At 49.9% G+C, this 17,758-nt stretch overlaps 1 annotated feature.

Moving 5' to 3' along the window:
* Window positions 17,049-17,343: an enhancer, noted in NCBI's record as "tiled region #15304; HepG2 Activating DNase unmatched - State 4:PromP, and K562 Activating DNase unmatched - State 8:EnhW". NCBI's record gives its function as "activates a minimal TATA promoter and a strong SV40 promoter by Sharpr-MPRA in HepG2 and K562 cells {active_cell/tissue: HepG2 | K562}" and the evidence as "EXISTENCE:reporter gene assay evidence [ECO:0000049][PMID:27701403]".

Consider the following 17,758-nt stretch of genomic DNA (forward strand, 5'->3'; position numbering starts at 1 on the left):
AAATAATTTCTACAGCTTTTTGGTGTGTGAAAGTTTCATCCAGCTCCAAGGGCCTCTTTGGACCTTTAGTTAAGAGTGTGTAATGAAACGATTATGTTTCCCCACAGGCTCCTAACAACTCATTTTCTACATCTTGATGATGAATTTGCTATCCCTTCAGCTGTGGTCTCTTCTTTTTTTTTTTTTTTTTGAGACGTGGTCTCGCTCTGTTGCCCAGGCTGGAGTGCAGTGGCGCGATCTCGGCTCACTGCAAGCTCCACCTCCTGGGTTCACGCCATTCTCCTGCCTCAGCCTCCTGCGTAGCTGGGACTATAGGTGCCCACCACCACGCCTGGCTAATTTTTTTTATACTTTTAGTAGACACGGGATTTCACCGTGTTAGTCAGGATGGTCTTGATCTCCTGACCTCGTGATCCGCGCGCCTGGGCCTCCCAAAGTGCTGGGATTACAGGCGTGAGCCACTGTGCCCAGCCCAGCTGTGGTCTCTTCCTTACCACACAGAAGTCAACATTCATTTCTCATCGCCACGCTGGACTTTTACAGTGTACCTGCTTAATCTTGTTGGATACTCCCAATGACATTGAAGGAAGAAAGGATTGTTATGTCTATTATTCAGAATGGAAGCTGAGGCCTGAAGATACGTAGTGACCAAAGTCACACAGTAGCAGACTCACAATTAAGACTGAGGATGAGCCAGGTCCAGTGACTCACGCCTGTAATCCCAGCACTTTGAGAGCCTGAGGGGGGGGCAGATCACCTGAGGTCAGGAGTTCGAGACCAGCCTGGCCAACATGGCGAAACCCCGTCTCTACTAAAATTACAAAAAAATTAGCCCAGTGTGGTGGCGCATGCCTGTAATCCCAGCTATTAGGGAGGCTGAGGCAGGAGTATCGCTTGAACCCGGGAGGTGGAGGTTGCAGTGAGCTGAGATGGCACCACTACACTCCAGGCTGGGTGACAGAGCAAGACTCTGAAAACAAAAACAAAAACAACTGAGGATGACAAGCAGGTGCCCTAGAGATTACAGGGCTTATGGGCAGAGGGATGGGAAAACAAGCTGCAGGAAGCCTCTCTGTGGCCAAAATTCACTTCAGTCCAATAAGACCAGAGTTTATTGAAATTTTCTATGCACAGGGACCAGGCAAGGGGAGTAGGAGCAGCCTTCCCTTTCTACCATCAATCCCTATAGTGATTGTGACAAGACTTAGGGCTCCCAGGAGGGAAAGTAAGGAAGACTATCCATAAAGACACAAAGTGTAAGATTTATTCAATACACTTTGAAGTGTAATGAATCACAAGTTAAGTCTTTTTTTTTTCTTTTTTGAGAAGGAGCCGCACTCTGTCACCCAGGCTGGAGTGCAGTGGTGCAATCTCTGCTCACTGCAACCTCCGCCTCCTGGGTTCAAGAGATTCTCCTGCCTCAGCCTCGTGAATAGCTGGGATTACAGGCGCCCCTACCACCCCCGGCTAACTTTTGTATTTTCAGTAGAGATGGGGTTTCACCATGTTGGCCAGGCTGGTCTCAAATTCCTGACCTCCGGTGATCCGCCTGTCTCGGGCCTCCCAAAGTGCTGGGATTACAGGAGTGAGCCACCGTGTCCGGCCAGTTCCTTTTAAAATTTATTTTCTCTTCTCCTTTCTTCCTGCTCCCACTTCTGATTTAATCTTTGAATTTCTTTGAATTTCTAAAGAAGAAATTTTACCAACTTCTTCACCAGACACTCCCTTCAAGGCAAGTTCATCTAATTCTTGGAAAGTTAACAGAGCAAAGCATGCCCGCTAGGGAACTTTCACCTTGGAACTTCTACCCTCTGGGGGATTGCTTCGAACTCACACCTACCAAGAGGGAATGTTGAAAGCGTGTCCACTTGGCCACTTTTATAACTTACTTCTGCCCAGGAAGGCACTAAGTCAACTGCCCAGCAGTTAAGCCACCAGAGCTAACGGAGACGCCCTCCCCCTGCTTACTTCCTCCCACCACCTTATAAAAGGCCCGCTTTCTGCTCCAAAAGGGAAGTGGCACATTTAAGGCAGGATGCTTCGTGCCATTTCCACAAGCTAGCTTCAAAATAAATTCATTTTTTCGTCCCAGACCTTGCTCTTTTTAACTGGACTCTGAATGTTGTGAGCAACTAACCTGCTTTTCAGTTACAAAATGATGGTAGCCTCTGAAGTCAGAAAAGGCAAGGAAATGGGTTCTCCCCTAGAGTCTCCAAAGGAACATGACCCTGAAGATATTTTGATTTTAGCCCCATACGACCTATTTTGAACTCCTGACCTCCAAAACTTTAAGGTAATAAATTTCCGTTCATATAGACCACCAAGTTTGTGGTAATTGGAAACTAGCAGCCATAGGAAACTAGTACATATTCTTTGGATACAAGCAATAGAAACAGACTCTAGCTACATCAAGCAAAAACAAAATTCGCTGAGAGGATTCAGTTGTACAACCACAGGCCTTGGAAGTGATAGGAGCCAGGGCTGCGTTGGGTAATCTAGATATAAGGAATAAGTAGGCCAGGTGTGGTGGCTCACGCCTATAACACTTTGGGAGGCCAAGGCGGGCGGATCACCTGAAGTCAGGAGTTCGAGATGAGCCTGGCCAACATGGCAAAACCCCATCTCTACTAAAAATAGAAAACTTAGCTGGGCATGGTGGCGCATGCCTGTAATCCCAGCTACTTGGGAGGCTGAGGCAGGAGAATTGCTTGAACCAGGACCTGGGAGGCAGAGGTTGCAGTGAGACAAGATTGCGCCACTGCACTCCAGCCTGGGCTACAGAGCGAGACTCCGTATCAAAAAAAAAGAAAGAAAGAAAGAAAGAAAATTCCACACTAACAGGTGGTGTGGTGGCTCTCACCTGTAATCCCAGCGCTTTGGGAGGCTGAGGTGGGAGAATTGCCTGAGGCCAGGAGTTTGAGACCAGCCTGGACTTGGTCTCTACTAATAATAAAATTAGCCAGGCATGATGGTGCACTCCAGTAGTCCCAGCTACTTGGGAGGTTGAGGTGGAAAGATTGCTTGAGTCCAGGAATTCAAGGCTGCAGCCAGGTATGATTGTGCCACTGTGGTTGAGGTGGAAGGATTGCATGAGCCCAGGAGTTCAAGGCTACAGCCAGGTATGATGGTGTCACTGCACTGCAGCCTGAGTGACAGAGCAACCTTGTCTCTGAAAAAAAAAAAAAGAAAAAAGACAAAAATCCACACCTGACCTCACGTGACAGGTTGCAGTCAAAACACAGACATACAACACAGTTTTTTCAGCATCTCCAGGTATTATTTTGATGATGCTACTATGCTGCTTACTTACCCTGAACACATTACTTTTTCACTGTATTAATGGTCTTTTTTTTTAACTGATAAATGTGAATAAGTGTAAGAAAAATGATACAGCATATAAATTCAGAGTCATGAATGATGGTGACGCCGAACAACCACAGATTTTCCAGAGGGGTGTCTAAGTGACACTTTTGTTTTCCCATGATTCAGTATACACAAACTTGGTTTTGTGCACAGAATTATTAAAAATATTGTATAAAATTACCTTCAGGTTATGTGTATAAGGTCTATATAAAACATAAATGAATTTATATTTAGACTTGGTTCCCATCCCCAAGATATCTCATTAAGTATATGCAAATATTCCAAAATCTGAAAATGATCCAAAATCTGAAATACTGCTGGTCCCAAGCACTTTGGATTAGGGATACTCAACCTGTATCTCATTAGTGAGTATGGGAAGAATGAACTGAGCACAACTCAGCTCTTCCTCCTTTTTTCTCTTTCAAATGTGCCTGCCCTTAAGAAGCACGATTTTTTGCCCTCTTCCTCCATGTTCTATTAATACATTTCCCACAGTCTAGCCCTCCCAGAGAGGACTATGATTGGTCAGGCACAGTGGCTCACGCTTGTAATCCCAGCACTTTGGGAGACTGAGGTGGGCGGATCATTTGAGGTCAGGAGTTCAAGACCAGCCTAGCCAACATGATGAAACCCCATCTCTACTAAAAATACAAAAATTAGCTGGGCGTGGTGGCGGGCACCTGTAATCCCAGCTACTCAGTAGGCTGAGGCACGAGAATCCCTTGAACCAAGGAGGTGGAGGTTACAATGAGCCGAGATTGTGCCACTTGCACTCCAGCCTGGGTGACAGAGCGAGACTCCATCTAAAAAAAAGAAGAGGCCGGACACGGTGGCTCACACCTATAATCCCAGCACTTTGGGAGGCTGAGGTGGGTGGTTCACCTAAGGTCAGGAGTTTGAGACCAGCCTGGCCAAAATGGTGAACCCCTGTCTCTACTAAAAATACAAAAAAATAGCTGGGCGTGGTGGCGGGCACCTGTAATCCCAGCTGCTCGGGAGGCTGAGGCAGGAGAATCGTTTGAACTCGGGAGGCGGAGGTTGCCGTAAACTGAGACTGTGCCATTGCACTCCAGCCTGGGCAACAAGAGTGAAACTCTGTCTCAAAAAAAAAAAAAAAAGAAAAAAAAAGAAAGAGAAAAGAGGGCTATGATGATTTTCTAGCACTGCCTGGGATCAGGAGGAAAAGTTTAACTTGGGGGTCCAGAATTCATAACCCCACTTTTCTCTCAGTAAATGCATATGTCAAGCAGCTTTGTCAGTAAAAAGAGTGATATTCTGATCTCCCTGTGCCTTATTTCTGTGGTTATCCCCTCATTTGGGTCTAAACGTGGGTGAGACCACCCCAAAACCCAACAAACAATTTCTTATGGATGCTATGATTTAAATGACTCAGTTCCAACCAGTTTCTATATCTGTCATTCTGCTCAAGACATTAATTTCTGGCTTGGCTTGGATCTCCTGTTCATCCCTTGGCAATGGTGTAAAGGACCTTAATTGACAGTTCCCTCCAGACTACAGAGAATGGAAGAAGTAGTTTCCCAGAAGCAAATTGTGGCAGTTTCCAAAATAAGAAAGAGATACTGAGCAGGCAGAAACAACAGATGTCCTCTGCAGGGAACTATTGCAAAGGCCCAGGAGAAAGAAAATGCAGGCCTAGACTATGGAGGTAGAATTAATGGGACTTGACACCAGACCAGATGGGGATAAGAATGACTGAGTTGAGGGGCCAAGCGACTGGGGGGGATGATGGTGCCATTAGTATTCATCTCATTCATTCATTAGCTGATTCATTCAACATGCATTTAATGAGCATTTATTATGTGTCTAGTATTGTGCTAGATGCTAAGGATCCAGTGGTAAATAATGAGGCCAGGGTCGGTCTAGGCACAGTGGCTCATGCCTGTAATTTCAACACTTTGGGAGGCCGAGGTGGGAGAATTGCTTGAGGCCAGGTGTTTGAGATCAGCCTGGGCAACATGGCCTGGGCTTGAGCAGTGGGAGGTCCTGCCTGGGACTTTGACCCTTGAGGGACAGAAAGGAAGGGGCAGGGTCTGTTCTTGGCGGGGAGGTGAGAGTCCAGCAGCAGTGGGTGGACAATGACCAGTCATGTCTGTCCAAGTAGTCTTTTCCTGTACCATGTCTTTGGCTGTGTTCTTAGCCTAATTGCTTTTGGTTTCTACTCATGTTTGAAATTTGTGAGAACCCCAGAAAAAATTTAAAAAATTAGCCCGGTGTGGTGGTATGCACCTTTGGTTCTAGCTGATAGAGCAGGAGTATCACCATCTTGGACAAGCACGGCCATTTTAAAATTCACCTTAATCAAAAACCGTCTAAATCCAAAGGGCATCAGCCTAATGGCTTAGGTCAGCATGACCATAAACCACAAATAACATCTCCAACCAGAAACATTCCAAACTCCTCCTCAACCAGAGACATGCTAGCCCCGAAATAACCCCCCTCCAGCTGGGAAGATGCCAGCCCTGAATATAACCCCACACCTGCTGAAAAGATGTCAGCCTCAAGATAACCTCCCCTCTGCCCAGAACATTCCAATCCCGCCATAAACTTCTCCCCAACACATAAACATTCCAAGCTTGTAATAAGCCCCCTCACCCTAAAACCAATATATATCTCTGTAAGAGAAAGCACTCCTTATTTTTTCTCTAAAATAAGCTTGTCTTTAAGGGGTTAAGTCACGTTTCGTGTTTCTTTCTTCTTTCTTAACTCTTACACTAGCTACTTGGGAGGCTGAAGTGTGGGAATCACTTGCTGCCAGGAGGTTGAGGCTGCCATAAACTATAATTAGCCCATTGTACTCCAGCCCAGGTGACAGAGCGAGACCCTGTCTCTAAAAACAAAACAAAAGCAAGGTTTCCACCTTTAGAAAACTCTCCACTTCGGGCTGGGCGCAGTGGCTCACACCTGTAATCCCAGCACTTTGGGAGGCCGAGGCGGTCAGATCACCTGAGGTCAGGAGTTTAAGACCAGCGTGGCCAGCATGGTGAAACCCTGTCTCTACTAAAAATACCAAAATTAGCCAGGTGTGGTGGCATGTGCCTGTAATCCCAGCTACTTAGGAGGCTGAGGCAGGAGAATCACTTGAACCTAGGAGGCAGAGGTTGTAGTGGGCTGAGACTGTGCCACTGCACTCTAGACTGGGTGACAGAGCAAGACCCCATCTCAAAAAAAAAAAAAGAAAAGAAAAGAAAACTCTCCACTTCTACAGAACTTGCAGTCAAGCGGGGGAAAAAAACAAAAAAAACAACAAATAAGACATTGACGGAGTCTGTGCTGGGAAAGGTACAGGCTTCAGTAACAGCACAATAGAGGAGCCCCCAGCTCAGATTTGAGGGGAAATGATGTGTAAGTGAGATGAAACCTTAAGAACAAGGAGGATTTGCTTAGGGAAGAGAGGGAAGAAGGGTATTCTAGACAAAGGGAATGGCATGTGCAAAGGCCTGGAGTTAAGAAAGATTATGACAAGAGGTTGGGCGTGGTGGCTCATGCCTGTAATCTCAACACTTTGGGAGGCCGAGGTGGGCAGATCACCTGAGGTCAGGAGTTCAGGACCAGCCTGGCCAACATGGTGAAACCCCATCCCTACTAAAAATACAAAAATTAGCCAGGTATGGTGGCGAGCATCTGTGATCCCAGCTACTCGGGAGGCTGAGGCATGAGAATCACTTGAACCTGGGAGGCGGAGGTTTCAGTGAGCCAAGATCATGCCACTGCACTCCAGCCTGAGGGATAGAGCAAGACCCTATCTCCAAAAAAAAAAAAGAAATATTATAGAAAGTTGAGGGGAACTGTGATATTTGGCAGAGGAACACCCCTCTTGTGTTGTGGAAATCCTTCACTGCAAGGAACTTGGGGGAAAACAGAGCCACCCTGCAGAAGCTGAAAGGGCAGACTCTTGCCTGCCTTCTTGGCAACAGGGGAGTGAGCACGTGACCAGGCTTGGCCAGTGGGATGTCCTGCCCAGGACTTTGACTCTTGAGGGAGAGAGAGGAAGGGGCAGGGCCTGTTCTTGGTGGGGAGGTAAGAGTCCAGCCTCAGTGGGTGGACCGTGGCCAGTGGTGGCTGTCCAGGTAGGCTTTTCCTGTGCCATGTCTTTGGCTGTGTTCTTAGCCTAATTACTTTTGGTTCCTACTCATGTTTGGAATTGGTGAAAACCTCACAGTATTCAATAAATTCCTTCACTGCTTAGGTTAGCCACCAAGACTTCTGTTTGGTACAGAGTTGAAAGAGGGTCAGTCTGGCTGGAGTTACAACTCAAGAGGGTAAGGAAAGAAAAAAGGGGGAGAGGAGACAGGGTCCTATGGGAAATTCTCTTGGGGGCTTTTGTGGGAGGCTTTGCTTTCCAGGAAAAAGAGATGCACAAGAAGAAAAACTCCCTTCCTGCCTGCCTCAGGGATGATGCAGCGCTTGAAATGTAGCAGCTATCTTGGGACCAGGAGGGGAGAGCTGCGAGACTCAGAGGGAAGCTGACCTAGGGTCTGACATCACTGAGCTGCTGAATTAAGCAACTCAGATGTCACCTTCTTCCACACTTCCTGTGATGAGAGATAAACCCCTAATGTTCAAACCGCATCTATGTCGGCATTCTGATACTCACTGCCCAAAGCACCTTATGTGACATGGCAAGTAACTTAACCCTGCTGGGCCTCAATTTCTCTTTGCAAAATCAGGATGCCGATACCCACTTCACAGGATCACAGTGAGTATCAGATTACATAATGGATGTAAAGTACTTAGCACGGTGCCCTACTCATGGTAAGCACTCAGTAAATGTTAACTATTACTACCTGCGTCAAAGACATAGAGGAGATGAGCTTGTTTTGTGGGAGGGTAGAGAGGAGAGAAGAATGACGACTAAAAGCTGGGAAGCCAACACTTGAGGGGAAAGGAATCAGAGAATGACTAGAGACTAAAGAAGAAAACCTGAAATTTCATTCTACCCACCACATCCTTTTTTTTTTTTTTTTTTAAGACGGAGTCTCACTCTGTTGTCCAGGCTGGGGTGCAGTGGTGTGACCTTGGTTCACTGCAACCTCTGCCTCCGGGGTTCAAGCAATTCTCCTGCCTCAGCCTCCTGAATAGCTGGGATTACAGGTGCCTGCTACCATGCCTGGCTAATTTTTGTATTTTTAGTAGAGGTGGGATTTCACCATGTTGGCCAGGTTGGTCTTGAACTCCTGACCTCAGATGATCCCCCACCTTAGCCTCCCAAAGTGCTGGGATTACAGGCATGAGCCACCGTGCACGGCCACCACATTCTTTTTCTTTTTCTTTCCCCTTTTTTTTTTTTGAGACAGAGTTTCACTCTGTTGCCCAGGCTGGAGTGCAGTGGCTCGATCTCAGCTCACTGCAACCTCTGCCTCCTGGGTTCAAGCGATTCTCCTGCCTTAGTCTCCCAAGTAGCTAGGATTACAGGTGCCCACCAACAGACTCGGCTAATTTTTATATTTTTAGTAGAGACGAGGTTTCACATGTTGGCCAGGCTGGTCTTGAACTCCTGACTCAAGTGATCCACCCACCTCGGCCTCCCAAAGTGCTGGGATTACAAGCATGAGCCAATGCCCTCAGCCCATTCTATCAATTTTTATCTGCCCTGTAAGGCCTTTGTTGATCTTTCCTTCCTTCCCAAGCCTGGCCTTTGTCCCATCTCTTCACTTAACTCTGTTAAATGTGGGGTTCATGATATCAGCTTGACAATCCCAGATTCTTTCATTCAGGAATTCTCTGGACATGCATCAAATATATCTCTTGGAGACACTCTCATTTCCAGGAGTTCCCAGTTGATATGCAAATTAGGCCTTTATAGTTACTTCCAGACACTTGGAAACTGTGAGTAAAGCTTCTCCAGTCTGCCTCTCCAGTCTATTCTATTAACCACTATGCTATGTTGTCTCTCATATGTAGTGGGACACTGATTAGTGTTTATTGATAGAAATGATGAAGAAGGAGTGTTACCAAAGCCAAATAAAAAGTTTCTGGGAGTGTATTAGTCAGCTTCAGCTAAGTTATATTGCAGCGACAAATAACCCCAAAATATCAGCTTACAGAAAGGGTTACATGTTAGCTGCAGGTGATGCAGGCTGAAGGTTCGGTTCTTGGAAGAGAGGGAAAAGGTACACTGGTATGCTGGTATAACTTGCATTAGAGAAAGCTGATAGTGTATATCTCTTCCCAACTTTGTGCTCAGTAATGTCACATTGGTAGCTTGAAATCAGTTATGGTGGAAGTACATATACTACAGAATGTGGCAAATATTTTCCCTCTAGAAGAGCCAGTTGTTAAATGTTTACTAGCACAGGACTGGAAAAAAGGAAAATGATGGGATCTCTTGTTGGCCCTTAAACCTTCTGCCTAGAAATGGCACAGGCCATGGAAATGCTACAGGTCACATGCACTTACATTGTACTTGTCAAAGCAAGTCTCATGGACAAGCTGCAGTCAATGGGGCCAGGAATGTACTTCTTCCACTGAGAGGCACTCAGTAGGTGAGGCAGGGAATATTCATGAACAATAGCACAATCTTCCTTCCTGGCGGAGTCAAAGGTGAGGACTGAGAAAAATCCCTTGGAATTGGCCTCAAGGAGTTTGCCCTTTAACATGAGAGCAGTTTCAGCTGAAGGAAGTGACTTTTATTTTACTCTTGCCTGTGGTGATCAGAGTTCTCCACCGATTAATTTTTAAAAGTTACCATTTATTGAGCAAGGATTGGTACCAAGCCCTGTGATCAGATCTCTACATACAATCTCACTGAGTCATCACAATACACTTGCTATGTCAAAACTATTTTTTCTTTTTTTTTTGAGATGGAGTCTTGCTCTGTATCCAGGCTGGAATGCAGTGGCATGATCTTGGCTCACTGCAATCTCTGCCTCTCAGGTTCAAGTGATTCCCCTGCCTCAGCCTCCTGAGTAGGTGGGACTACAGGTGCACACCACCACACCTGGCTAATTTGCCAGAACTATTATATCCCTACTTGATGCATGGGGAAACTGAGGCTTAACTCGGCATGGTTAATTGGCTTGCTTGAAATCACACAGCCGGTGAAGTCTCCCACCACACAGCATTTTCTTTTGTGGCAGACTGTACTGTTTTCCACAAATATTTGATGTCTCTTGCTGTGAAAGGATTATTTGTTTCTGTTCTGTTGAACTTGGGTGAGGGCATATGACTTGCACTGGCCAGTGAAATGAGAACAGAAGTAGCGTGCATGACAATTCAAGGGAGAAGCTTTTGAGAGCCAGGGCAGGATTCACATGTTCTTTTCACCTCAGCAGTCATGGCAGACTGTTGAGATGGAACCTCCACCAGACTAGGTCCCTGAGAGACAAACCACCTGCAGCAGAGCCCCCTAGTCAATCCAAATGAGCAGGTAGTATGAGCAAGGGTTTTATTTATTTTTATTTTTTATTTTTTTGAGATGGAGTCTTGCTCTGTCACCCAGGCTGGAGTGTAGTGGCACTATCTCAGCTCACTGCAACCTCCGCCTCCCGGGTTAAAGCAATTCTCCTGCCTCAGCCTCCTGAGTAGCTGGGACTGCAGGCATGCGCCACCATGCCTGGCTAATTTTTGTGTTTTTAGTAGAGACGGGGTTTTGCCATGTTGGCCAGGCTGGTCTCGAACTCCTGACCTCAGGTGATCCACCCACCTTGGCCTCCCAAAGTGCTAGGATTACAGGCATAAGCCACTGCGCCCAGCCTTATTTTGTTATTTTTAAGCTACAGAGGTCCAGTAGCTTAAATTTTCCCCAGTTGTTTCTTCTAAAGCAAAACCTCATGCATCCTAACTGTTCTATCCCTCGTGAGGGCCAGACAAAGAGGCTGGACAGGAAGCTCTTGCTGAGTATGCCAAGACCTACTTACCTTGGTCAGTAGAGATGTAGACTGAGTTCCAGGGGGTTTGTGGACTTTAAGTTCCAGTTACCTACACAGACCAACTCCCCCCTACCTGGCAGCGTGCATCTCTCCTGTGTCTTTTTTTGGGCTTCACAGCCCACTTGACCTAGGACCGCTTCCCAATTTTTGTAACATGCTTCCTGTTCCTTTGTCAACCAAACCACAACCATGAGATGTGGTTTTCTAAAGAACTGGCTAAGTCCAAGCCACCTGAACAAGCAAAGCCTTTCTACTACTGTTTTGAGGTCACTGTGGCGAAATTCCGATTTCCATAAAAGTCGCCAGCTTCCAAGAAAAGGCGTATGATATTAACAGCAACAAAAACGCCCTCAGCTGGGAAATGCTACACATTAGACATGGCCTGTGAGGAAATCCTTGTGGAGGGAATCAAAGTGCTGGGATTACAGGTGTGAGCCACCACGCCCGGCCTAACATTTAATTTATAAATTAGGGCCAGGCATAGTGGCTCGCACCTATAATCCCAGCACTTTGGGAGGCTGAGGAGGGAGGATCGCTTGAGGTAAAGAGTTCGAGACTAGCCTGGGCAACATGGTGAAACCACATCTCTACAAAAAACACAAAAATTAGCCAGGCATGGTGGTGTGGACCTGTAGTGCTTGCTACTCGGGAGGCTTAAGTGGGAGGATTGCTTGAGCCTAGGAGGTTGAGGCTGCAGTAAGCTGTGATTGTGCCACTGCCCTCCATCCTGGGCGACAGAATGAGACCTTGCCTCAAAAAGAAAAAAAAATTATAAATTAGGCACAGCAAGAGATTAATAACAATAACTAATAATAAAACAATTACAGCAATACACTATAATTATGTGAATGTAATCCCTTTATCTCTCTGAAAATATCTTATTGTGCTCTGCTCACCCTTCTTGTGATCTGTTGATCTGATAAATAGGACCGCTACTAAGCTACTAGCTGGTGGGTGGTGTATACAGCATGGATACGCTGGACAAAGGGATGATTCACATCCTGGGTGAGATGGCTCCAGATTTCATCATGCTGCTCATAAAAGCATGCAATTTACAACTTATGAATTGTTTATTTCTGGAATTTTCCCATGTAATATTTTTGGATCACATTTGTCCTTTGGTAAGTGAAAGTGCAGAAAGGGAAACTGGATAATAGGAAACTACTGTGGTTAGGAAACAGACTCAGCTACTATAGCAGAGACTCCAAAATAACAATGACTTAGACAAGATAGGTGCTTACTTCTTGCTTATGTCAAAACCCTGGCAGGCAAGGGGCAGTGGATATGGTGGCTCTACCATCAGGGAACCCTGGCTTTTTCTGTCTCCTTGGTTTGACATCAACATGCGGCTTCCTTCCTGTGGTCCAAAAGGGCAGCTCCAGCTCCTACCATCACTTCTGCATTTCAGCCAGCAGGAAGGAGTAATGGGGCAGTGGGGGATGCCCCCCTTCCCTCTAAAGGCATAACCTGGAATTGCACCTGTTACTTTCATTCTCATTGCACTGACCGGAACTTAGTTACAATGCCACGACTAGCAGCCGGGGTACTGGGAAACATAGCTTTTATTCTGGACAGACATATGCCTAGCCAACAGGTAGAGGCTCTATTACTAAAGGAAGAATAGGGAGAGCATTAACATTTAAAAAGACTAGCAGAGGAGGTCGCGGCGCCGGAGGCCCCAGAAGGCTCGAAGGCGCCGCGGGCTGGGGTCGGTGGCTTAGGGAGCCCGTCCGGCCATGGTGGCCGCGGGTGGTGGTTGGCGCGGCTGCGCTGCGGCCCGGGGCAGTGCGGAGCCGGGACAGTCGCGGCGCTGACGCCCGCGGGCCCCAGCTGCAGATATGAAGCGGAGCCGCTGCCGTGACCGACCGCAGCCGCCGCCGCCCGACCGCCGGGAGGATGGAGTTCAGCGGGCAGCGGAGCTGTCTCAGTCTTTGCCGCCGCGCCGGCGAGCGCCGCCCGGGAGGCAGCGGCTGGAGGAGCGGACGGGCCCCGCGGGGCCCGAGGGCAAGGAGCAGCCGCCTGCCTTGGCCTCCCAAAGTGCCGAGATTGCAGCCTCTGCCCGGCCGCCACCCCGTCTGGGAAGTGAGGAGTGTCTCTGCCTGGCCGCCCATCGTCTGGGATGTGAGGAGCCCCTCTGCCTGGCTGCCCAGTCTGGAAAGTGAGGAGCGTCTCCGCCCGGCCGCCATCCCATCTAGGAAGTGAGGAGCGCCTCTTCCCAGCCGCCATCACATCTAGGAAGTGAGGAGCGTCTCTGCCCGGCCGCCCATCGTCTGAGATGTGGGGAGCGCCTCTGCCCCGCCGCCCCATCTGGGATGTGAGGAGCGCCTCTGCCCGGCCGAGACCCCGTCTGGGAGGTGAGGAGCGTCTCTGCCCGGCCGCCCCGTCTGAGAAGTGAGGAGACCCTCTGCCTGGCAACCACCCCGTCTGAGAAGTGAGGAGCCCCTCCGCCCGGCAGCTGCCCCGTCTGAGAAGTGAGGAGCCTCTCCGCCCGGCAGCCACCCCATCTGGGAAGTGAGGAGCGTCTCCGCCCGGCAGCCACCCCGTCCGGGAGGGAGGTGGGGGGGGTCAGCCCCCCGCCCGGCCAGCTGCCCCATCCGGGAGGGAGGTGGGGGGTCAGCCCCCCCGCCCGGCCAGCCGTGCCATCCGGGAGGGAGGTGGAGGGGTCAGCCCCCCGCCTGGCCAGCCGTGCCGTCCGGGAGGGAGGTGGGGGGTCAGCCCCCCGCCCGGCCAGCCGCCCCGTCCGGGAGGTGAGGGGCGCCTCTGCCCGGCCGCCCCTACTGGGAAGTGAGGAGCCCCTCAGCCCGGCCAGCCACCCCGTCCGGGAGGGAGATGGGGGGGTCAGCCCCCCCACCCGGCCAGCCGCCCCGTCCGGGAGGGAGGTAGGGGGGTCAGCCCCCCGCCTGGCCAGCCGCCCCGTCCGGGAGGGAGGTGGGGGGGTCAGCCCTCCGCCCGGCCAGCCGCCCCGTCTGGGAGGTGAGGGGCGCCTCTGCCCAGCCGCCCCTACTGGGAAGTGAGGAGCCCCTCTGCCCGGCCAGCCGCCCCGTCCGGGAGGGAGGTGGGGGGGTCAGCCCCCCGCCCAGCCAGCCGCCCTGTCCGGGAGGGAGGTGGGGGGGTCGGCCCCCCGCCCGGCCAGCCGCCCCGTCCGGGAGGGAGGTGGGGGGGTCGGCCCCCCGCCCGGCCAGCCGCCCCGTCCGGGAGGTGAGGGGCGCCTCTGCCCGGCCGCCCCTACTGGGAGTGAGGAGCCCCTCTGCCCGGCCAGCCGCCCCGTCCGGGAGGGAGGTGGGGGGGTCAGCCCCCCGCCCGGCCAGCCGCCCCGTCCGGGAGGGAGGTGGGGGGGGTCAGCCCCCCCGCCCAGCCAGCCGCCCTGTCCGGGAGGTGAGGGGCGCCTCTGCCCGGCCGCCCCTACTGGGAAGTGAGGAGCCCCTCTGCCCGGCCAGCCGCCCCGTCCGGGAGGGAGGTGGGGGGGTCGGCCCCCCGCCCGGCCAGCCGCCCCGTCCGGGAGGGAGGTGGGGGGGGGTCGGCCCCCCTGTCTGGCCAGCCGCCCCGTCCGGGAGGTGAGGGGCGCCTCTGCCCGGCCGCCCCTACTGGAAAGTGAGGAGCCCCTCTGCCCGGCCACCACCCCGTCTGGGAGGTGTGCCCAACAGCTCATTGAGAACGGGCCAGGATGACAATGGCGGCTTTGTGGAATAGAAAGGCGGGAAAGGTGGGGAAAAGATTGAGAAATCCGATGGTTGCCGTGTCTGTGTAGAAAGAAGTAGACATGGGAGACTTTTCATTTTGTTCTGCACTAAGAAAAATTCCTCTGCCTTGGGATCCTGTTGATCTGTGACCTTACCCCCAACCCTGTGCTCTCTGAAACATGTGCTGTGTCCACTCAGGGTTAAATGGATTAAGGGCGGTGCAAGATGTGCTTTGTTAAACAGATGCTTGAAGGCAGCATGCTCGTTAAGAGTCATCACCAATCCCTAATCTCAAGTAATCAGGGACACAAACACTGCGGAAGGCCGCAGGGTCCTCTGCCTAGGAAAACCAGAGACCTTTGTTCACTTGTTTATCTGCTGACCTTCCCTCCACTATTGTCCCATGACCCTGCCAAATCCCCCTCTGTGAGAAACACCCAAGAATTATCAATAAAAAAATAAATTAAAAAAAAAAAAAAAAAAAGAATAGATGCTGGGGAACAATTAGCTGTGTGCAACAGAGTTTACCTTTTGGAAAGATCTCTTGGGGGAAGGGTGGAGAAAGGGCTGGATGGTAACAGATCACAGCCAAAGAAATAACCTGAACCAAGGCAGAGACATCCGGGATGGAGAGAAGTGGCAGAAGGCTTATGAGATATGGAAGTTGAATGGACAGGATGTGTGACTAATTGGCTATACTTCTAATTAACTGTACTTATCATAGCCTGTATTTATGCGATTAACTATTTAATATCTACGTTTCAGGACGGGCTCACACCTGTAATCCCAGCACTTTGGGAGGCTGAGGCGGGCAGATCACGAGGTCAGGAGATAGAGACCATCCTGGCCAACATGGTGAAACCCCGTTTCCACTAAAAATACAAAAATTAGCTGGGTTGGTGGTGTGTGCCTGTAATCCCAACTATTCGGGAGGCTGAGCCCCAAGAATCACTTGAACCCAGGAGGCGGAGGTTGCTGTGAGCCAAGATAATGCTACTGTACTCCAGCCTGGCGATAGAGCGAGACTCCATCTCAAAACAAACAAACAAACAAAAAAAACAAAAAAAGGCTAGGCGCAGCGGCTCACGCCTGTAATCCCAACATTTCGGGAGGCTGAGATGGGCGGATCACAAGGTCAGGAGTTTGAAATCAGCCTGGCCAACACAGTGAAACCTCATTTCTACTAAAAAAATACAAAAATATTAGCTGGACATGGTGGCGGGTGCCTTTCATCCCAGCTACTTGGGAGACTGAGGCAAGGTGAATTGCTTGAACCTGGGAGGTGGAGGATGCAGTGAGCCAAGATTGCGCCACTGCGCTCCAGCCCAAGCAACAGTGCAAGACTCTGTCTCAGAAAAAAAAAAATCTCCCTCTCCAGGAGGATTATAAGCTCCATGAAGACAGAGATTGAGTCTGTTTTGCTTATCACAGCATCCCAGGGCCAGTGCCAAATACAGTGCCTGGCATACAATAAGTGCTTATGTGTGAGCGAATGAATGAGATAAAAGAGGAGCAGCCAAGGACAATAACAACAATAACTCTGGGGACAAGTTTGATTGAGAAAAATCAAAATCTTAAAGTAAACGTCAAACAAAAAAAAATTTTTTTTTTTTGAGACAGGGTCTTACCCTATTGACCAGGCTAGAGGGCAGTGGCACGATCACAGCTCACTTCAGCCTCGACCTCTCCAAGTAGCTGGGACTATACTACAGGTGGGTGCCACCACCTCTAGCTGATTTTTGTATTTTTCTTTTTCTTTTTTTTTGAGACGGAGTCTTGCTCTGTCACCAGGCTGGAGTGCAGTGGTGGGATCTCGGCTCACTGCAACCTCCGCCTCCTGGTTTCAAGCGATTCTCCTGCCTCAGCCTCCTGAGTAGCTGGATTACAGGTGCATGCCACCACACCCAGCTAATTTTTGTATTTTTAGTAGAGATGGGGTTTTGCCATGTTGGCCAGGCTGGTCTTGAACTCCTGACCTCAGGTAATCCACCCACCTCAGCCTCCCAAAGTGTTGGGATTACAGGCATAAACCACAGCACCTGGCCTAACAGTTATTTTTAAAAATAATTTCTACCAACTGTAATCTGTCATCCCCTTTCCTGACGGACATTTGGCCCCCTTGATGACATCTCCAGCTGGTTCCAAAACTTTTCAGTCGTTTTTAGTTATTAATGCAGTCTCTTGTTTCAGCCATTAACTTGGTCTTTCCATTTTCGAAGGTCAGTCTCCTTTGGGACTCACAGTCCAGCAGGCAGGCCTATGGCATGGAGGGGAGATGGGTCTGCTCTCTCTTGTCTGCCCTCTGGTGGGGAGAAACAAGAAGGAAAAAAAGGACTTGTTTCCTTAGATGTCCCCTGCTGGCCCTTGGCTGACCTCTTCTTCGCTTCTCGCGAGGTGTCTGTGTTCCTGTCCTCTCAGACATCACAGCTGCTCAGCTCCTTATCTGTAGACACGGGGTGATGGAGTAGCACGCTGCAAAAGGGCTTGGTGCCTAGTTGCTCTCCTCTGCTGGTGGCCTCTGGCTCACCCTTCACAGTGCACCTCTTTGCCCCCCGCAGGCCTGCTGCCCCATCACATCTACCCTCTGCAGCCCCAGCCTGGGGCCTGTGGACACAGGCCTGTCTCAGAAAAAATCTCAGAATCCATCTTTCTGCCACTCCTTGCCACCTGATCACATCCTTGGCCTTCCCTCTCCATGCCCTTTCCCCTATTTCGTAGCACCAGGACAGGTTGGCAAGTGTAGTTGCTCAGCAAACATCATCAGGGAAGGAGAAGTCAGATGCCCTCTGGTGGCACCGCACACCTGATGAATGATTCTTTTGGCTC

This window comes from Homo sapiens, chromosome 1 (genome assembly GCF_000001405.40).
Source record: "Homo sapiens chromosome 1, GRCh38.p14 Primary Assembly".
Taxonomy (NCBI): domain Eukaryota; kingdom Metazoa; phylum Chordata; class Mammalia; order Primates; family Hominidae; genus Homo; species Homo sapiens.